The sequence below is a fragment of the Homo sapiens genome, chromosome 18 (genome assembly GCF_000001405.40).
Source record: "Homo sapiens chromosome 18, GRCh38.p14 Primary Assembly".
NCBI classification, from domain to species: domain Eukaryota; kingdom Metazoa; phylum Chordata; class Mammalia; order Primates; family Hominidae; genus Homo; species Homo sapiens.
In genome coordinates, this window is record NC_000018.10 from 74,445,740 (window position 1) to 74,468,588 (window position 22,849).

The following is a 22,849-nucleotide window of genomic DNA, read 5'->3' on the forward strand; positions in this document are numbered from 1 at the left end:
ACAGCAGGTGGGGGAGCAGAGCACTCCGCCCTCCCCAAACCCATCCCGCACCCATGACATGCCTGCCAGTCTTATTACTACTTCCTGTTGGATGGTCCCAGCGACTGGCACAGCGTGAGGGCACTGGGATGATCGCAGCAGCATGAATCTGACCCATCAGTGTTCGCCTAGCTGGGTGAAGGGAGAGGGGTTTGTGTTACACGGAGACACTGAGGCTCCTGCTGCCGTTCTTGCACACCTCCCTGTTCTCACGCAGCTGCCTGGCCCCACGTGCCCCGTGGTGCGGTGACAGATATTTCTACCTGGCAGGGCTTTCCCTTGTGGAAGGCACTAAAACCCCATTTGTTCCTCTAGAAGTCTTACATACGGAATGGAAACTGACTGGAACCTCTCCAGACAAAAAGCACTGGGAAAAGTTACATGTTGTCACAGAGCATGGGCAGCTTGAGAGCAGCCTCTCCACACCGGAGGCCATCCTCCCTCATGGTCTTCTGCAGCTCCTTGCCTCCTGCGGACTGTTTTCCGCACAAGTTAAACAGGCCCGCAGGAGAGGTTGCTGTTACGTGAGCTCAAAGCAGCCACAGAGCTCAGGTGAAGGAACCAGAGCAGCCCTCTGGGAGGACGAAGCTGGCCCGGCCTCTGCCTCCCACTGTGGGCTCCGTTCATTCAGATTCTCACTGGAGATGCATCTGTTCCTTACTAACACCCGGAAGGAAGTGTTCTGGTAGGTGGGAGTTCTCTAAGGCTGCAGAAGCAACAGTAGTTTGCTAACTCAGGCCAGGAGCTCAGAAACCTTCTCATTTCCTTCCCTCCAGACCCGAGAGCTCCGTTCTCTGCACATAAACACACCGACCTGCGCCACTTACTGTGAAGTCGCTCCGGATGGCAAAGTTTTCCGGCTTGATGTCGCAGAGGTGGAGGCGGTGGGAAAAGTCACTGTCAAAATGGTTCACCATGTCCAAGAAGCTGAGTGCGATGTCACTGATGGCCTTGGCCTGGCCACCCCCAGGGGCACCTGGGGCCCGGTCCAGGGGGAAGAGTGCCCTGTGGTGGGGGCTGCCCGCGGCCAGGAACTCCACCGCGTAGAAGTGGCCGCAGGAACCCAGCACGGGCAGCACGTGTGGGCTCAGGTCCTGCAGCAGGCTGAAGTAGACGTACTCCTCCTGCTGCAGCAGGGCCCACAGGCTGGCCAGCTGTCCCCGCCAGCGTGGGCCCCGCCTGCCCGGCCACCACGGCCCCAGGCTGCTGTTGGACAACTCCAGGCCCAGAGCGCTCTTGACCTCCCCAGCCACCATCAGGAGGAGTTCGGCCTCGGGCATGTCCTGGCCACCCTCCCCTGCCTCCTCTTCCAACAGGCTGAGGGGCGGGAAGCTGGAGAAGGCCTCCTCCTTGGACTTGAGGACCACGGGCCGGCCGCGCCAGTCGGCCTGCAGCACCTTCTTGCCTCTGTTGTAGTGCAGGCAGCGTTGGAACAGCAGCTCTCCCGCCACACACAGGTCCTCGCAGAGGTCCCCGGCCAGCGTGCCGCCCTGGTAGTCCTGGCACTGGAAGGAAGGGAACAGTCGGTCACCATGGGGAGGGCCTGGTGCCATCCGTCTCTCGGCTCGGGTTAGGGAAGGGGACAGCCTAGCCTCTGCCCTCAGGACGCTGATAATCCAGCTGTGCAGAGAAACCTCAGCCCTGTGGATCTCAGAGGCCACTCAGCCAGTGAGTAATTCAGAGGAAGGTTAAAGGAGCCGCTCACAGTCATTACACGACTCAGTCAGGCCTAGGACGGGTCTACAGAATCAGGACACCTGCGGCCGGGAAGCACGACTTCCCATCGTTCAGCTGGGTGACTCCGGGAAAGCCAGAGGCCAGGAAACCAACAGGTGAAGGGGCTGGACCAGGCCAGTAGCTCTCGACTCTGCCTACACTTCAGGGTCACTGGGAGAGCTTCTAAGTCCCACATCTAAGCAGCTAGGTCAGGTCTCAGCAGAGGGGACCCCAGGAGCCCTATCTGCCCCCAGGCTTGACCGCAGTAATGACCCTTCCTGCAAGTACATTCCTTGAGCTTACTGTTTTCCACATGAAATGGAGTGCCCTATAAAGCTTGCAGGCTGCAGGTTTGCAGATGTTTAGAGGAGAAGCCTCTAGAGGACACATGAGTGGGCACAGGGCTCATGGCTGGTGACCTGGAGAAGAGGAGGGACCAAGGAGGACCCATGCAGGATAAAAGAGTAGGGAGTGTTTGCATCTGAGCGGCGGTGAGCAAGGCTGTCCAGGAGCCCCCGGATGGGGTGTTTCTCCTAAACCTCAGGAGGCCTTAAGATGGAGCCACTAGGGGACCTGGCGACCTTCCCCACCACACCACAAATTCCCTGAGAAGCCCGTCCAGCCCGATAATCCTGCCAGAGGCAGGGAAGGAAGAAGTGCAGAATGGAAGGAAGGAGAAGACTGTCATCCTCTTCTCTCTTTTGTTTTTCAGAAAATCTAAACCATGGGACCACTTTGATTAGGGGTTGAGTGTATTTCCTAATCCCGCCCATTTCCCCGACAAATGAATCTTCCTCCATGTCAGCAAATAAAGGCCGCTCTTCCTTCCAGGAACTTCTATAGCACATGAAACAACAGAGTCACCCTCGTTCCTCTAAGGGCATGAGAAATACCAAATCCCAAAGCTGTTGTTCTCACCCCATTTCATTTGTGAGAAAGGACCTTGAAGGCTCAACAGTAGCAAAGGGCAGCTTGGTGCTGGGACAAAGGATGGGGCCAAGGGCCACTGAGCTTGGATTCCATGGTCTAACCACGCTGCCACATCCTTACCTGCTCTGGGCCTCAAACTCCTTCCTTGCGTCACACTCCCTGCCTCCCTGCATGATGATTGTACTGGCCAAGAGGGAAGTGTGTGTGCACACCACAGTGTATGCACGAGCACCAGGCATCAGGAGAAGCCTGGGAACAGCCTTGGGTTCATAATCAGATACTGCCCAGCCTCGCAGGTGGCTAGGTAGATCAGCTTTACCCATTCCAAGCAGATTACAAGTAGCTCCTTGAGGTCAAAAGCTGGACCTCCAGTGTCTAGATGTATAAATAATTCCAAAATCAGGCTGAGCATGGTGGCTCACCCCTGTAACCCCAGCACTTTGGGAGGCCGAGGCGGGCAGATCACTTGAGGCCAGGAGTTCAAGACCAGCCTGGCCAACATGGCTAAACCTGGTCTCTACTAAAAATACAAAAATTAGCTGGGCATGGTGGTGCATGCCTGTAGTCCCAGCTACTAGGGAGGCTGAGGCAGGAGAATCACTTGAAACCGGGAGGCGCAGGTTGGAGTGAGCTGAAATTGTGCCACTGCACTCCAGCCTGGGCAACAGAGCAAGAATCTGTCTCAAAAAAAAAAATCCAAAGTCAAAAAGCCTCTGAAAACTACGAGTTTTTCATGACTCATTTGACCTTATGTGGTGTCAAAACCCAGCTGAAAAGACACGAGCCTATTTGTATCTATATGTGTTTGACTTGATGTGAATTCGCATACATTTTGCTGTAGAATTATTAACTTGATTACTGGCACTGCCCCATAAGCAAAATATAAGGTACTATATGATCTTTCTAACATTCAACAAGATTTGAATTTTGAGACACACCTGGCCCCAAAACAGCAGATAAGAGAGGGACTGGGGGCCTTTATAAACACTGCAGGCTAATCGTTCAAAGCGCTTACTGAAAAGAAGCACTCCCAGTGCTTAAAAGAGGTATCTAGATATTTTTCAGAACTATTTCAGGTAGTACAACAGCCTGAAAGGCCAATGCCAAGCTGTCTGACTGCCCCCCTGGCTTCCTGCTGCGGGGGTGCTCCTGCCAGCCGCTGCATTTTAGATCTCTGTATAATGCATTGGGCGGGGATGAGGGGGGTCTTGCTTGGCTAACACAATGATGCACGCGAGACAGGCCTGTAGATAGAAACTCAGGAACCTCGCCCTGGAGCTAGTGACACCACCCTATTTGCCTGGGGCTGACTTTATGTCTTTGGAAACCCACATCCTTTAGGAAGTTGTATGAACACACACTCACCAGCTGCTTTAAACACATTTGGAGTTGTGCACCTCCTGTGTTCATCTTGGAATTGAACTCAACAGAATCTTGGTTAAATGTCATTCTTTGGCTTTAACCCGGGTCACTCTTTCCCAGGCACGGGGTCATGAAAGGTGCATGGGAGGATCCGGACCCTTTGCGCCCAGCATGCTTTGCTTGCGATCACCTCCACATCGCCCTTCGGAGGAAAGCGGCAGCTGGTCAGGCTCCTCTGAGACCTTTCAGGAGAGCCCTGAGAGGTGAGGTGAGGACGAATGATAAGGAACTGAGGCCACCGTGAGCAAGAAGATATAGATGGCAGGAACAGTAAGGGCTGTTCATTTTACTTGTTGGGGTTTGTCCCCTACTTGTTCTGGTATTTACATAGTTTCACGTCTCTATAAATCTGATAAGAAAGTGCAAAAAAAATTGTTTCCTGATCTCCTTTTAAATTAAAAAAAAGCTTCTGTAAGCATGATACCCAAAATAGTTGGATTCACTCCCATAAAATTTTATAGTGTTATCACATATCTAATTTAATCAAAAGTACTTTTGCATAAAGTAGAGAACCATTGAAAAAGAAAGAAAAGCACACAACAGGACTCCAGTGCAGCCAAAGGTGTGATCCTAAGCTGGGAGCTTCAGAGTCCCACAGTGCTGAGGAGGGGAGGGCGGGGAGATGTGGTCCTGGTTGCAACTGAGAGAGGAGGCTCAGGAGAAAAATGTCAGAGACACTGGGCCTGGTTTTCCATTAGCCTGTGAAAAGCAGAGTGAGGAGGGTGCCTACTGTGACTGCCAGGGCCCTCACCCCTCTCATCTGAACTGTGGCCACCATAGCCACTAGCCATGAGAGACACCTGCCGGCCAAGAAGCCACCTCCTCTCTGCCTCACTGGGATTGGGACTGGGCCACTCCCAAATCAACAGCTCCAGCTTTCCCAGCTGTGCATGAGCCTGGATGGGCCACCATCTGGCCACAGCTGCCAGGTTCCGGAGTTCACGGAGCAGAGGGGACAGGCTTCGAAATTCCTAAATGACATTAGAGTGACAGGGCAGGGCCACAGTGAGGCTAAGCTTGGCACAGATTGGGTCTGCCTCTGGGCTCTGCCCCTGGCTTGCTGTGTGGCTTGTTTCCGAGTCTGGAAAATGAGGACAATGGTACTGTGTAATGGAGTCAAACAAGGTCACAGGGAGACAGTCCCAACACAGTGCCCGGCCTAAGGTGGCTCGCTCAAAGCTAGCTCCCTCTCCAGCCCTGGCCAGGAAAGGGTGGGGGGCCGGGGCATCTTCTTCCTGGGGGAGACGCCTCTGAGCTCAATTTTGAAAGCGAATTAGAAGTCTGCCTTAGCAGACAAGGGAGAGGGCAGCTGAGTCACGGAGAAGAACTTGTGCAAAGGCCCCGAGTTTCAAAGTAGCCCTGTGTGTTCAGAGAACCAGAAACAGCCCCTGGGAGGAGAGGGCACAGTTGAAGCAAGCACCTACTGACAGGCTGGGCTGCGCTATTCGAAATGCCGTTTTGGGTGTCTCCATTGTACTTACACGCTTCCTACCCGGCCTGGCCAAATCAACCTTTGCCCGGAAGCCAGTCCCACCCCTAAGTGGAATTCTTGTCTTCCTCTCCTACCCCAGTGCTCATTAAATCATGGCCATGTGAGTGCATCACTGGGCCAGGTCCCCACAGCACCGTGTTTAACACAAACTGTGCCTCATCGATGAAATACAAATCTATACGAGATTTGCCCCTGTGAATTTGGAGGGCGATTCCAAACAGGAGTTGTGAGACATTTAGAACAATGGTATAACTTTGAATTTGGCATCCAGCTCATGGATTTTGGAAGGAAACGTTCATTTTGGCTGTTTTTCTGAAGATCAGCACATTGACTTGTAAACCTGCCTCCCTGACGCCTGCTTCTTGCGGCGACACTGGGTGTCAGAAAGGGCAGAAAGTGCAGCAGGTGACAAAAGCGCTGACCAGACCTGCCAGCTTCCACAGGTAAGGTCTTGGGTTTATAACCTAACTTTTCAGTATCCCAGTCACCGCGCTTGTCCTAAGAGAGCATTAAAACGCACACAGCTCTTCCTCAACTTAAAATGGATGATACCCCAACAACCCCAGAGTAAGTTGAAAATGCGTTTCATACACCTAACGCACTGAGCATCATCGCTTAGCCCAGCCTACCTTAAACATGCTCAGAACACTTACGTCAGCCTATGGCAGGGCAAAATCATCTCATACAAAGCCTATGTAAAATAAAGTGTTGACTATCTCACGTAATTTATTGAAAACTGCCTTGAAAGTGAAAAGCAGAACGGTTGCATGGATCCTCAAAGTGCAGTTTCTACTGAATGCATCTCACTTTCACCCTGTCATAAAGTTGAAAAATCATAAGTGAAATCATTAAAAGTCAGGGACCGTCTGTATACAAGTGTGGTTATGGCACAGATATTCCTTGATATCCTTTACAATGAAGTATTTTTGGCGTTTCAGTTCCTACTCTTCTTATGTAGAGTGCAAAATTCGTCTCCCATGGCTTACCAGTGTTAAAGTAAGTCTGCAGCATTGTTCTGCATGTCTGTGCCTGCTAAGCACAGAAAAAGATTTCATCCAGCCTTTTAAAAAAAAACAGTCAACTTAATGTACAAATTGCAAGTTTGAATTTAAAATTTTCATCGGGCCAGGCACAGTGGATCATGCCCGTAATCCGAGCAGTTTGGGAAGCTGAGGCAGGAGGATCACTTGAGCCCAGGAATTCAAGACCAGCCTGGGTGGGCAACATGGCAAGACCCCTGTCTCTACAAAAATTAAAAAAAAAAAAAAATTAGCTGGGCCACACTTATAGTCCCAGCTACTTGGGAGACTGAGACAGGAGGATTGCTTGAGGCTGGGAGGTAGAGGCTGCAGTGAGCCACCCTGTCTCAAGAAAACAAACAAAAACTCCAAAAACTTTCATCATGTTAAAGATAATAGTAGAATCATTTTATTAGCAGCATGTCCTGTTGAAATAGCTGGGTTTTTTTTTAACTCAATAGAAGTTGTTTATGCAGGTCCATTTTAAAAATCAGTCTTTCTCAGACTCCTTCTGTGCGTAGGAGGAGTTCCTAAGGCCAGCTTAAAGACAGGTACATTTTTGTACCCAAATGTGTGCGCATATAAAATCCACAGGTATTGGAGTTGAAAATAAACTGAAAAAAACAAGTTAAAGTCTCATTGCAGCTAACTCTAGTGTGCTTTTAAAATTTAATAACATTTGCAGTGGATTTGTGCTTCTCATGGATGTGAAAATATCTACATTGATGCACATTCCCATCAAATCAGCCCCAGCTTTGGTAAGCAGCACTCTTTGCAATCATTGCTTAGTATGTCTCTAATTTATGTCATGGTTCTCAGGCAAAAACAAAACCTGTCCACTCTAGTCTAGAAAAACTGTTGATAAGGTCCCAGAGGTCATGTCTGAGGGCCGGGTTTCCTTTTGTGTGTTTGTTTTTAAGGAGCATTAAGCTCCTAGGCAGTTAGCAACATTCAGACTTCACAGTGGTATTCCTTCCCGAAGTAGCTATGCTGTGCTTTGCAGAATCTCAGCTCAGTTAGCTCGTCCACTGTGTAACCGCTCCCTACTTTAGGAATGTGGCCGAGCATTCAGGCAGAACCATTCGCTGCTGAGAAATCTCTCTGGATATGAGCCCTGGATGCTGTAGTCCCATTGGGACCTTGACAGTTTCTATCACAGCAGCAAAGAAAGATAAGCCTGCCCTATTAAAACCGAATCTCTAATGTAGACAACTACATGAAATTCCATCAAGACCTAACTAGCCAAAAGGCAGTTAAGCCTTCAGGACAACAGAGTCTGTGGGAATATCTTTGACATGCTTTGAAAATGATTTGCTATGGAAGGGTTAAGTATACGAGTTGTTATGTAGGGTTTCCATTATTAGAGAAGCCACTTACTGTCACGTCATTGCTACCATCAGACTACACAGAGTCATGTCCTGGCTCCTCACCATATTCACCGTGTGAAGCAGGGCAAGTCACTTCACCTCCCTGGGGCTCAGTTTTGCCATCTGTAAAATGGGGATACTAAAAGCAAATACTTCATAGAGGTTGTTGAGGGAATTCAGTGAAATAAGCCCCACGAAACAATTCGCACAGTGCCTTCCCAGAGGAAGAGTCAACAGGCAGCAGCCCACATCTTCAGCCTCTGTGTGAAGAGTTCAGCCTGCAGAATGAATGAGAAGCCAGGTGTATCAGTGATCCAGCACCAAGCTAGCTCCCCAGCTGGCTGGGCCTGCTGACACAGCCCACTAGAAAAGCGGGCCTCCAGAGATCTGAGTGCACCTATTTCTTGATTACAGTGTGTTGTTCCTATTAAAGCTGCCATTAAGAGGAGCCCTAGAGTCTGACCAGGAAAATCCAAGCTGGAAGACCAGGGACTCAATTCCTTTGGAACAATTCAGGTTGGCTCTTCTAGAAACTTGTCAGGGGGGTGTGGTTGGCTAGAGGGGAACCTCCCTGGGGAGGTGGAGTGTGGGCTTGGGGAGAACATGGAGACCTCTGACCCCCATCCCCTGACTCGTCCCTAAGCTTTTTCCTCTGATTCCTTTATCCTACAGGTGGGTTCACCCCTGCCAGGCCAGCAACGCCCCCCGCCAGGCGAGAGCCTGGGAACACTGGCAGCCCCCGCTACTGGGGGTGGGGAATCCACCACAACTCCCTGGGCGCTGCCAGAAAGTCTCCCTTCAGCTCAGCTGGCAAAGTGGTTTCTTCTGTGCTCTGGTATTCAGAGTGAAAGCTAATGAGAGTCTGGAGGCCCATCAGGAAAATAACAACCAGTTTTATTATTACGGATAAAAGCCAGGCAGAATGAATTGGAAAGTGCCAGGGGAGCGGAGACAGAGGCTCAATTCAGTTCAAGTCCTCGGAAGCCACAATGCCAACCTCTACTTGGCAACTCAGCCCAGCAGAGTTGGGATTGTGAAGATTGGGGTCGTATTTAAACCCTGTCCTGAGAGTGTCCTGGGTAAAATTTGAGCCAGGGCACTGTGTGGATCTCGCATCAACACATCCAGGATGAAAACGGTAGAAAAGGAAGTGGCAGGAAGACAGGGGGAGAAAGAGTTCTGAGAATGTGTAAAGAGTAAGGAACTCAAACAGGGCCTGTGGCAAAGTCTGCTCCCCCACAAACCAGTTCGTGGAGACAGCGTCACATCGACACCTAGGGAGATGGATGTGGCCTCCGACATCGTTCTTTTGGCAATAGGAAAGACTGCCAAACCTTCGATCTTCAGGGGCAGAACCAACCTCTCCAGCTTTATGTCTGACTAGAAATGATTCCATATGGCTGCCATTGAAGATATATTGGTAAAGCCTCTAAACAGAATTGGTTTTAATTCATGACCTGGAATGCTGGGAAAGTCATGATTAGCAATTACTTAAATTATACTAGACGATTTAATTTCCATTATTAAGCCTTTCCTCACTTAACCAAAGGTAAATGAAAAATGGCATTCGTTTTCTATCTTAATCTAAAGGATTACTACATTAAATTTGTAAATAGGTATTCCCCTCTAGTTAAACCATCAATGTTTGTTTACTATAATTAGTCTATCAGCACTCCCTTCACAAAAAAAGAAAACCAGGGGGGAAAAATTTATAAATGAAAAGGACTTTTATGGGTTACTAAGAAAAATCAAAGAGCTCTTGCAACTTAAAACTTCATAAAACTGGCCCGGTGTGGTGGTTCACGCCTGTAATCCTAGCACTTTGGAAGGCCGAAGTGGGCGGATCGCCTGAGGTTGGGAGTTCGAGACGAGCCTGACCAACATGGACAAACCACCATCTCTATTAAAAATACAAAATTAGCCAGGCATGGTGGTGGAGGTTGCGGTGAGCCGAGATCACGCCATTGCACTTTAGCCTGGGAGACAAGAGCAAAACTCCATAAAAAAAAAAGAAAAAGAAAAAGAAAAAAAAAACCAAACCAACAACAACAAAACTTGCTAAAACTTCAGTGTAACACTAGAAGGGGTCAATAGAATCTATGAGTGACTCACCTATGTTCAATTCACGATGACACGATGACACGCGTCAGAATCAATTAGGAGCATAACTTGTCTTAGCTAGTATACCTGGCTCATTTTTTTAAAAAACAATTTCAATCTCACTTAAAAAATCATTTACTTTAAAAACTTTGTGGTCCCACATTTTGAAAATCTACAATCTCAAAAGGCCCACCCATATGTAAGCAACTGGACTGAAAACTTCCCATGTGTTTCTTGAAGATTTTTTAGAAAATAGATCTCTTTTCAAACCAAATGCTTAGATGGTCACTATTTTAGGAAATGAATAATCGCTTAAGAAGTCATGTAAGAGTAGCTGCTACTATCTTCCCCTTTCTGGGATTTAGGGGACTCCCACCTTTACTGAAGTCTCCTTTGCGCCTGAAAGAACGGCTAGCCAAGTTTCCAATCAACTAAAGGTGGGCGTTTCATTCATATGATGTGAGCCCAGCGTACGCAGCAGTCTGCAAAATGCGAAATGTTTCTTTCTCTCCCTAATTCTCTGGCTCAGCTGAGGAGCTGCTGGGTGCGAGCTTTCGGGCCCTCCCAGGTTAGGAGGCGCCTGTCGAGGACCGGGACCCGGGATCCTCCCGGTCCCAGCCGCCTCCGCAGCGCTCTCTGCTCGCCCGAGCGCACACTGCGTCGGTTCCCACAGACCGCGACCGCGGAGAGCCTGGGCTCTGGAGCGCAGGGGGGCCGGGGTCAGACCAGCCCTCCGCATGGGCTCGGTGAGATAGGGGGTGACCTGGCAGCTCAGGGTGGAATCACAGAACGCGGGCTGGGCTGGAGCGCTGCGGACCCGAGAGACAGAGGCGTGGCACCCCGGATCCCGAACCCCGCACTGGCTTGCGCCCCGAGCCCGGCGGCCTGACACCGGACGCGGCACCTCCCTGGACACTCGGATCAGACCCGCAAACTTTCTTCCGGAGCTCGGGCTCAGGGGTGGCGAGGGTAGGACGGAGAGGCTGTCTGGGGACAAAGGGCGAATTCTGGCGAAAAGGGGAGAGACACCCCCAGCGCGCCCACAGAGCACTGCCGGCTGCGTCCCCATTCGGGGGACCGGGGCGTGCGCCTCTGGCACTCCACGCAGGTGTCGGGAACCCATGTCCCCGGCGGGTGCCACCGCCACCCAAGTCCCCGGGAAGGCTGGGGACCGGGAGCGGGTGTGATCCCCCCTCCCCGGACGCGCGGCGCGGGGCAGAGCGGCGGCGGGACCTACCAGCGCGGCCAGGATGCGCCGGCTCTTCTCGTCGGTGCAGCGCTCGGAGAGGACACCCGGGTGCGCGCGGAGCAGCAGCGCGGCCGCCAGCACCCAGCCCGCGGTCCACGCGGCGAAGGCGAGGAGCGTGCCCCGCCCGCAGCGCCCGCGCCTCCTGCACCACCCGGCAGGGCCCCGCGCGCCCGCCGCCCGCGCCATGGCCAGCCCTGCCCGCGCCCGGGCCCCACCGCCGCCCGCGCCCCGAGTTCCGCACTCGCGTAGCTGCTCCGCGGCTCAGGCCCGCTCGGCGGGGAGGGGGAACGGGGGAGGGGCCGCGCGAGGGTTGGGGCAGGCCCCGCGCCTGGGGCGGAGGTGCGGGGAGGGCGTCCAGCAGCAGCAACACCCCGCGCGCCCCGAGCACCCACTGGGGGTCCACTCGCCGCATCCCCTGCTCCACCCTCTCTACTTTTCTTTTTGCACTTTTTTCCCCCAAGAAGACCAGCTCCCCACTTAAACGAAATCCGGGTAGATTCAATCGCCTCTCTCTTTGGGGACTGATTCCTCAAGACTACATATCTTTAATTGTCACATTGCCCTCCCCCACCAACTTCTCTGAGAGGCCAGGTGCCCTTGCCCCCAGCGCTCTGTAGAGCGCACCCTCGCCCCAGGGGGCTGCAGCGTTGTCCCCCCCCGTTTACCTCTCCACTAGAACCGCCCCCCTCTGAGTCTCACCCCAACTTGGGTTTTCTCCGGGCCCTCCCGGGAGTGAGATCCGGAGCATGCAGAGAGTCGGGGGTCGAGGACAGTCAGTAGGTTCTGGGACGACCCAGCCCTCCCCTTCCCACGGGCACCCCTGAATCAAACCCCCCGCCGTCTCCCAGGCTGCACAAACTCTCGGGCGTCCTTCTCAGGGCTGCAAAGATCTGCTCTCTGGAAACATCTCCGTTACCCCGGGGAGGAGAACACGTCCACCACGTGTGTCTAAGTCTATATTTATAGATTCGCAGTATCATCTGGGAGAGCAGGCATCCGTGTTCCCATCCCAATTGTTCTGTAAAGCAGGCTGGCCCTGGGCCCACAGGGCGTCCCTGGTTCTCACCAGCATCCCCCACCCCACCCAGGGATGCTTCTCACTCCCTGAACGCCTTTCCCCAGGATAGGGGGAGGCGGCGCCACCCCAGGGGAACTGTCACAGCTGAGGGGCTGTGAAAGCCGCCACGCCCGGGGCTCCTGCATTCACTGAACAAAAGCTTATTCAGTGCCCAGTACGTGCCAGCCCATCCCGGATCGCTCTCCCGCCTGCCCTGCGCCTGAATTTCACATGACCCGTTCCCGAGTTTAGAGATAATAGAAACATGCCCTGATCACTGCGTGCTGTGATTGTCCCACAGGAGCTGGCTTCTTGCCCTTGTCTCTTCTGCAACTCGCTGCTTTAACTTTGTTTTATGGCTGGCTCGGTGGTAGGAGTCCCCAGGAATGACCAAACATCAGATGAACAAACCCTGAGCCCCAAGAAGCACTTCGGGCACATCACAAATATGCCCCGAATGCAACAGACCCTTGGGGTTTGGGTGTCACTCAATCAACAGCAGGGTTTGGGTGTCACTCAATCAACAGCGGTAAGGCCAGGTGAAGCTCTCTCTGTGTGAAGCTTCCCCCCACCTCCATCCATCCCAGCACACGCCCAACCAGAAGTACCATATTTTCACAGGCTGGCTGTATGGAAACTGTGTTGTTTCATTTCAAAATAGGTGTGGAGCATAGAAAGCATCCTAGTAAAATACTGCATTAAACTCTCAATTCAAGGCCAAGCCTGCTGGCTCATGCCTGCAATCCCAGTGTTTTGGGAGGCCAAGGCAGAAGGATTGCTTGAGGCCAACAGTTTGAAACCAACCTGGGCAAAAAAAAAAAAAAGTTAGCAGGCATGGTGATGTGGGCTTGTAGTCCTAGCTGCTCTGGGGGTAGAGGCAGGGGACCTGCTTGAGCCCAGGAATTTGAAGCTGCAATGACTGTTATCACACCACTGCACTCTAGCCCGGACAACAGAACGAGACCCTGTACCTAAAAGGAGAAAAAGAAATCTCAACCTGATGTGAAGTTGTTTTCCTTTCCCAAGAATTGTATTTGGTGTGGGGAGGGGAGTGCAGGAATGGGAAGAATGAGATGAAGCAGTGTGACTACTTATCTTTTAAAACATAGGAACAGAAATTACAGGGGGGAAAGCAGAACTTGAAATCAAAATTAACCACATTCAGATCTACATGGTGTTTTACTTTTGTGGGTTTTAAAAATCCGTTATGAAGCCCACTTCTTTTGGCATTTTATAAAGTATTCAGAAGAAAATAAACTTATAATCCCACAGTAAAGAAATCCTTTTCATATTCAGCACTGTTTTAACACGGAAGTGATGGTGCTCTCTAGCACAAGGTGGAGAGTGCAGCTTAGGTTGATACCACAGGAAGTTTTGTTTATTTTGCAGTTTTGCCTAGGGCCCTGAAGCTGCCTAGTTTGTAAAGCTTATGAACTGTTTTGCACTGATTTAAGGTAATTAGGAATTTTTGTAGGATATAGGCAGATATTTAGCATCAAGATGTTCTTTAGAACACAGTTTGTAATAGCAACATTGGAAGTAACCTACTGTGTGCCATGAGGACTGGTGAAATAAGCCTTAGTCCTCCGCTGGTGGGAAAATGATGCTGGCATAAAAACTGTGATGTGAGGTGTATGTGGGCAGGAAAGATATTACAGGAGAAATTTGCCGTTTCTCCTTGTCCTGCGCCTCTTCCCCTCCTCCTTGCACAGAGCTTCCTTGGGAAATCACACCCTCTCAAGCTCTGACCCCATCTGCAGCGCCAGCCCAGGGTGGGCTCCCGATCCCTGGGCTGAGATCAGCTACTCATTCCCCAGTCACAGGGGCCAGTCAGGCAGCCCAGGCCCCAACACGCCAATCCCAGCCAAGCACGCAGGCTTCTCAGGCTTTTTCTGAACAGTTGGGAAAGAGAAGCTTTATTTGGGCTGAGATGGCCAGGCTCTGAGGATGTGGTGGCCAAGAGTCACCACAAGGGGAGAATCTGCTGAAGGGGAGGCCAGCCCAGAGGAAGGGGGAGGAATGGAGAGGGACTTCTGAGGATGTCCTCCGAGTTCCCGACTTTCCAATTACCCAAATGATACATTCTCTTCATGGCTTAAGCAAGTTCGGGTTGGGTTTCTGTCATTTACAATGGAAAGAGCCTTGACCAGTACAGATGTTCATGATATCATCGAGGGAAAAAGCAAGTTCCAAAACATTATGTTCCGTGTGATTCCATCGTACTTGTTTTTGTTTTTGTTTTGTTTTTAAAGCATACCATATCCTTAATGCAATGTACACACACACAAAATCTGAAAAGTGGTATGAAAATGTTGCTAGTGTTATCTCCAGGTAGAAGGATTGCAGGTGATTTTTATTTTATTCTTTTTGCTTACGTCAATTTTCTAATTTTATTTCAGATAAGCACATATTATTTGTGTAATAGTAAAGCCGTGTTATTAAAGAGAAGAATTACCCAAAGAGACTCAGTTATGGGAGTCCTGGCCTCCGCCGCTCTGGTCTCTGCAGCTGCTCCAATGAGCGGGACATAGGAAAGATACAGCCTCGGCCATACTGAACCACTTTGAAAGACTTATTGCTTCGTCTGCTGTGATCTCCCAGCCATGTTCATTTTTCTGTAATAAAGCTTAACTTGATAGGAGTTCATTCATTCATTCATGCATTCATTCATTCATTCATTCAAAGCACTACTGAGCACCTCTATTTTGGTGTCGAAGATATAAAGATGGGAGAAAGTGGGCTCAGCCCTCCTTGGTGAGGGAGACCATCAAGCAGCTCTCCAGTGGGTTCTGTGCAAAGGGAGATGCTGCGTGTCCGTCACTGTCTGTCCCTTCCACTATCCCTGCCCCATGGGGCTTTGCCAGAGCCAGGGCTGCTGCTGCTGCTGCCCTCACGAAGGCCAGTCCCAGGGCCACGGGTGAGGTCTTGCACTCCAAATGTCCATAAGGATCCCCAGAAGGACTCGGGTGAGAGCCATAGCAGAGGAACTGGAGTGGGCCAAGGCACAGGATCCTGTCATTTTTCTTTTTCTCCTGATGACTTTTCATCTCCTCATCTTGCAGGCCTGAGCGAGTCTCTCAACCATCTGCCCAGGAACTCAGGACAACAGCTCTTGCCCCTCCAACTCCTGCCTGTAGGATGAGAGGTTACATATTCTTGAACCTCATGCCTCCTCTCTTTTCTTTTTTTCTTTTTCTTTTCCTTCCTTCCTTCTTTCCTTCCTTCCTTCCTTCCTTCCTTCCTTCCTTTCTTCCTTCCTTTCTTTCTTTCTCTTTCTCTTTTTTTTTTTTGAGACAGGGTCTCGCTCTGTTGCCCAGGCTGGAGTACAGTGCTGTGATTATAGCTCACTGTGGCCTCCAACTCCTGGGTTCAAGCAATCCTCCTGCCTGGTTACAATAATTTTTTAAAATTTTATTTTTTGTAGAGATAGGGCTCAATGCGTTGTCCAGGCTGGTCTCAAACTCCTGGGCTCAAGCAATCCTCCTGCCTCTGCCTCCCATAGTTCTGGGGCTGCAGATGTGAGTCACTGTGCCTGGCCCATGCCTCCTTTATAAGGGCAGGGGGATCATAGCTCTTCCACACCTTAGGTCTTCAGACTACTGCTGGGTTATAGTCGTCATCTTATTTATTTATTCACTTATCTTGAGACAGAGTTACACTCTGCTGCCCAGCCTGGAGTGCAGTGACATCACCACAGCTTACTGCAGCCTCTACATTCTAGGCCCAGCCATCTTCCCACCCCAGCCTCCTGAGTAGCTGGGACCACAGTTGTACACCATCACTCCCAGCTAATTGAAAAAAAAACTTTTTTGGTAGAGATGGAGTCTTGCTATTTTGCCCAGTCTGGTCTCAAACTCCTGGGCTCAAGGGATCCTCCTGCCTTGGCCTCCCAAAGTGCTAGGATTACAGGCATGAGCCATGGTGCCTGACTACTATCATTGTTTTTAAGCAGATTTATTGAGGTATAATTTGTATACCATGAAATTTCCTGAGTTTTAGGCATTCAATTCGGTGATTCTCAAGACATGTGCAGAGTTCTGCAGCCATCACCAACATTGTGTGGCTGTGGAACGTCTCTATCATCCAGGAAGCTCCCTCCTGCTCACTTGCATTCCCTCCATGCTCCCACTTCCAGCCCCAGGCAACTGCTAATCAGTCTCTACAGCTGGGGTTTTTTGGACACTTCATATAAGCAGAATCATAGAGCAGGCATCTTTTGCACCTGGCTTCTTTCACTTAATGCTTTTCAGGGTCATCCGTCTTGCACCATGTATCACTACTTTGTTCATTTTGTGTTAAAAACAGCATTCCATTGCACTGTGTGAATACACCAGACAGTGTTATCCGCTCTTCAGTTGAAGGACATTTGAATTGTTTCTACTTTTTGGCTATTGTACATAGTGCTGCTATTTGGCTATTGTACACTGTGTACACAGTGACACATATGCATGTGTCTTATGTGGACGTATGTTTTTATGTCTCTTCAATTCCTAGGAGTAGAATTGCTGAGTCTCATAGTACATATATGTTTTGCTTAAAAAAAAAAAAAAAACTGCCAACCTATTTTCCAAAGTGGTTGCACCATTTGACATTCCTATCAGCCACGTCTAAGGATTCCAGTTTCTCCATATCCTCATCAACACTTGTCATATTCCTTATAACCATCCTAGAGGGTGCACGGTGGTATTTCAGTCTGCATTTACATTGCATTTCCCTGTGAAGAGTCATAGCTTTTATTTTTGATAGCTAGAAGTCACCCTGCAATTTAAGTAATCATTCTTTCGTTGTCCTGCAGCTGGGTCCTTTTATGATAGAACCACATTTTAGGAATTTTAGTCCACATTCTCTCAACTTTGTGGCACTGCCTGGGTTGACCTAGTGGCAAGAGCCTGCACAAGAGGTGAGGAAAATACTGTTTGTCATGGAGTTATCAGGGGAGCTGCAGCCCAAGAACGTGGGGTGCCCCATCTTCATTGTGGGTGCCATGGGGATTCCAGCTCCCGGAGTACACATGAGCACAGTGTTATCCTTTGATCTTAGAACAACTACCATATTGATGAAGGCCTGGGAAGTGGAAAACTGAAGATGCTGAACGTTATTTGCTTGGCTGTTTTGAATGTCATACCTCTAGAACCACTCACTGGAGTCTTTGCTGTTCCGTTTTGCGATGCTTTTGTTGTTTGTTGAGGTTGGCTGGAAACCTTTTTACAAAATGAAGCACTTTGTTCCTTATAGGACTCAGCTTGGTTTGTAACCCTCTGGGATTTCCTAACCACCCACAGTTGCACTGCATTCATTGGGACTAAGCTTTAGGAAATTCCTAACCGTTTTTTGGCCGCCCTTCTTGTATTTTCATTCCAACTGAGACACAGCTGCTGGTTGAGATTTCCCTCCAGTGCAAAGGGAGAGACAGGAGGAGTCCTACTGATGCTTGATGCTACTCCTTCCCGCCCTCACCCCCACGTACCCGGCACTGTCTTCAGGCAAGCGCATGAAGATTCCTGTCAAGCCCACTCTACTCAGGCGAAAGCACAACGCAGGGGAAAACATATCGTGCTGTTTGGCTTTGGAACTCTCACACCAGGGTCCTTAGGAAAAAGTGACATCCTAGGATTTGTCATTTCTCTTTCAGCAAATAACGTGCAACTCTTGCAGAGAGCAGTGCTCCATTGTTAAGCCTGCCCAAAAGAGCCTGTAGCCTGACCTGCTCGCCTGACACGAAATCAGCACCGACTGGGTGGGTTCTTCTCAGCAGCAGACGGAAGAAGAAGGCTCTTTACTCTTTGGTGGGCCCAGGATGTTCACATCCAAAAAGCTATGGCTGCTTTGCCAAATAATCTCTTAAAGATTCTGATGGCTCTGAAGTTAGATTCCCCTTACCAAAGGATCAGGTGGTTACTAAAGGTCAGCATATAAGAAGCCATAGAGTCACATCAGCACCATCTCCCTCACCCCCTTTAATCTCAGCTCTCCGGATGCTGGTGTAAGACAGCACTGGCTTCATCAGTGAAGACTGCACTATTGCATAGGAGAGTTGGTGGCAGCTGGCCCCACTCCCCAAAAAGGGCCTCATAGCCTTTCTACTCTCAGACAACTTTTGCTCAAACCCAGTACTCCTGGGAGCCCTTAAATCCACCAATGAAAGCACAATCTACCTAGTAACCTCCTAATACAGAAAGCCAGGAAAATCCTTGGTTCCACCTCTCTCTCACACCCAACACCAGATTTTTAAAAATAGAATTTTTAAAAGCAGTTTTAGATTCACAACAAAATTAAGAAGGTACAGAGATTTTCTATCTACTCCTGCCCCCTGGCAGGCACATCCTCCCCCACATCAACATCTCCCACCAGAGTGGTACATTTGCTACCATCAATAAACTTACACTTGGCACGTCATTATCACCTGAAGTTCATAGTTCACATTAGGGTTCACTCTTGGTGCTCTACATGCTGTGAATTTGGATAAACATATGACATGGATCCACCATTGTAAATACAAGGCAAACATAAACATACAGAAACAGTTACAGATGGAGTTACAGATACAGATACAGTGACAGTTACAGATACAGATCAGTTACAGATACAGTTAGAGATACAGTTACAGTTGATACAGACACAGATATAATTAGAATTACAGATATAGATACAGTTTCAGGTACAGATACAGATACAGTTACAATTATACATACAGTTATAGATAGAGAGTTACAGTTGATACAGATACAGTTACCAATACAGATACAGATAGACACAGTTACAGTTACAGACACAGATGCAGATACAAACATAGATCCAGTTACAGTTACAGTTACAGATACAGTTATAGATACAGTTTGTGTGTGTGTGGCAAGTGGGGGGTGGGGGGGGTGGTTTGATAGGGAGTTTTGCTCTTGTTGCCCAGGCTGGAGTGCAATGGTGCTCTCTCTCCTCACTGCAACCTCCGCCTGCCGGGTTCAAGTGATTCTCCTGCCTCAGCCTCCCGAGTAGCTGGGATTACAGGCGTGTGCCACCGCACCCAGTGAATTTTTGTATTTTTAGTAGAGACAGGGTTTCTCTATGTTGGTTAGGCTGGTCTCGAACTCCTGACCTCAGGTGATCCACCCACCTCGGCCTCCCAAAGTGCTGCGATTACAGGCGTGAGCCACCGCACCTGGCCTAGATACAGTTTTAAATACAGATACAGATACAAATACAGGTACCCATACAGTTACAGATACAGTTACTGATACAGATACAGTAACAGATACAGTTACAGTCACAGATATAGTTTCAAATACAGATACAGTTTTAAATATACAGATACTATACAGTTGCAGATACACATACAGATACAGTGACAGTTACAGATACAGACACAGTGACAGTTACAGATACAGATACAGTTGATACAGATACAGATATAGATACAAAGCTGTTTCATGGCCCTACAATTCCTCTACATGTCACTTTACTCATCTCACCCTCCCCACTAACTCCTGGCAACCACTGATTTTTTTCCTAGGAAATCATACAGCATGTATCCTCTTCAGATTGGCTTTTTTCATTTAGCAATAATCATTTAAGCTTCATTTATGTCTTTCATGGCTTGATAACTCATTTATTTCATCAGCGCATCATATTTGATTTTCTGCTTGTACTGCAGCTTATTTATCCATTCACCTACTGAAGGACTCCTTGGTTGCTTTTAGATTTTGGCAGTTATGAATGCTATAAATATATGTGTGCAGGTTTTTGTGTGGATTTAACTTTGCAGCTCATTTAGGTAAATAGCCAGGAGCATGATTGCTAGATCATACGGTAAGAGTATGTTTAGTTTTCTAAGAAATTGACAAACTGTCTGCCAAAGTAGCTGGATCGTTTGCATTCCCACCAGCAATGAATGAAAGTTCCTGTTGCTCCATATCCTCACTGGCATTTGGTGTCGTCAGCGCTCTGGATTTTGGTCATTCTAACAGATGTGTAGTGGTATCTCATTGTTTTAATTTACAGTTCTCTGATGACACATGATGTTAAATGAATTTTAAATGGGCATCATAAGCACACTTACAATGTTGAAGGCACAAGGATGGCACAAAAACTCAAAATAATTTTTAAAATATAATTATATTAATTATTAAATTAAATATATTAAATAATTTAAAAAATAATTTGATTTTGGATAGTTCATGAAAGGCAATGAAATAATCATCATGGGAAGCTAAATTTGATATACTCCCTTGCATGTGACTTATGGTGGAGAATTATTTTTGTGTTGACTTAGTTTTGGGGGATCACTGCCATCATTCAGCACTTTGGGACACAAAAGAAAGATCTTCACTGGCCTCTCAGGCCTCGTACCCAGTGTGCAAGTCCTATCTAGACCACTATGACAACATCTCTTCCTCTCCCCAAAGGCTGCCATTTGCTCAGCTCCCTTGTAATCTCTGTAGACGTGGGCCGCAGACTCTAGGCTGGCCTCTTCTAATCCTGCCTCTGTCAAGCTATGAGTTATTTTCTTGGAAAAGGAAACCAACCAGGGTCCTTTGATTGCCCTGTTAACTGCTCCCAGCCGGTGCAATTCCCGCCCTTTCCTGCACAAGTCTCCAATCCCCATGGTCTCCATCTGCTCCTCGATATTTGTCACTGGAAGTCTTGATCCTCCCTTGTTCCTGGGCCCCTGCTCATCCTTCAAGACCACCTCCAGTACCACCTCCTGGGGCCTCACTTGACTCCTCCCTCCTCCAGCACCTTCTAACACTTCCTCGTGTGTTTAACTGTGTGTTTGTGTGTGTGCACATCTGTGTGTCTGTTACAGACCTGGTCCTCCCACTAATGGGGGACTTCCCATTCCTCCTGGACTCAGCATCCTGCCCGTTGCACGGTGTTGGTCCTCAGATAGCAGTGAAGAGGGCTCAGCCTGCTCTTCTCACTCACCAACTTTGAGATTCAGAATCAGCAGGAAGCCCTTCCAAAGAATACTTTCCCTGCAGATAGCAAATCTGTGGAAGACAACACCCCAAAAGATGATACTGGGAAATAAAAGTCACTTCAGGAGAAGTTGGTAAATGAATTTACAATTACATTGGTTCCATAGTGTTTCCATGGATACCTCTGCTACAGACATAACCGAGACCCAAGACACTTTTTCATTTCTCTTAAGGCCTACTGCTCATATCCTACCACTAGTTGCAACTTTTACCTCACTAAATAGTGCTTCATAAAAGGAGGAAAGGCGATCATGACTTCCTGAGTCAATATGCACTTTTTAAATTTTCTAGATAATTTTGCCACCGAAACAAGGAGTAAAGGCAAGAAAAGTCAGTAAAGGATAAACCATGAAAGCAGCTCATAAATAGATTAATGATATTATATATTTTTCTTTGTTGATATTAATTTTTAATGATAAAACAAGTAACTGCAAGATACATAATTCCCCATTATAAAACATAATTCTTTTATTATGGTAAAATATATATAACATAAAATTTGCCATTTTATCATTTTTGAGTGTACAGACATTAAGTGCATTCACATTGTTGTATGAGCATCACCACCATCCATCTCCAGAACTTTCTCATCTTTTCAGACTGAAAATCTGTACCCGTTAAACACCAACTCCCTTTTCTCTGCTCCCTCCAGCTTCTGGCACCCACCATTCCACTTTCTGTCTCTATGAATTTGACAATTCTAGGGGCCACATATAAGTGGAATTATGTAGTATTTGTCTTTTAGGTGATGCTTATGTCATTTAGAATTGTCTTCCTAAGGCTGAATCACCTTCCGTTGTCTGTATATACCATGTTTTGCTTATTCATTCCTCGGTCGGTGGACATTTTAGTTGCACCCACCATTTGGCTACTGTGAATGGTGCTGCTATAAACATTGGTATACAAATGTCTGATTCCTTGCTAGAAAACTTGTTTTTTAATAAATAAAAATATCAAGCAGTAAAGAATGTCTTTTGATAAAGCATGATTGCCTTTGTGAAATTAAAAAAAAACCTGATTCTCTATAAAGCATGGGTTATGGCTCTTCTGTTGCAACTAAGATATGATAGCCATGTGTTTTTTTTTAAGTTTAAAAACTATATTTTACAAGCTTGCCAAGATACAGTATTACTCAGGAAGACAATCTCATACAACAAATGCCACTCAATGCAAGGAATCAGATAACTCTAGCCAAAAAATAAAGTTGACTTTCATCTGCACAGATCAATTAACTCAATACCTTGATCATCTAATTCCCTACAGGCCTTCCTCCAGCATGCCCTGTGGCTCCCTTTCCAGCCTCGCTGCCAAGTTTCTTTCCTTCTATCATGTCATTTTCCCCTTGTTCACTCATGCCTTCTGCCAAATGCACTTACCCTTTTTCTTTAATGGGTTCCAGTTTTAATGGGAAAGGCTTGTTTAGTTGTCCATAAGCCTTACATGCCCCTTCACATCAATGCTGTCTTAGATTGTAAATTCCAGGAACGCA

General features: G+C 48.3%; 1 protein-coding gene across 3 annotated transcripts in view; it reads right to left on the reverse strand.

The window, feature by feature from the left end:
- The window catches only part of DIPK1C (divergent protein kinase domain 1C), a 29,874-nt gene extending 10,965 nt beyond the window's left edge, over positions 1-18,909 (reverse strand). The window contains exons 1-2 of one of the 3 annotated variants that reach the window (XM_017025551.3): positions 18,775-18,909; positions 867-1,544 (exon numbers count right to left, since the gene is read on the reverse strand). In XM_017025551.3, coding sequence (XP_016881040.1) covers positions 867-1,319 — 453 coding nt within the window. In that variant the 5' untranslated portion in view covers positions 1,320-1,544; positions 18,775-18,909. Of the gene's footprint in view, positions 1-853; positions 1,545-11,322; positions 11,570-18,774 lie in introns of those variants that run through there. The other 2 variants (NM_001044369.3, XM_047437299.1) reach the window with 2 other exon arrangements.
- Between the last annotated feature and the right edge of the window lie 3,940 nt (positions 18,910-22,849).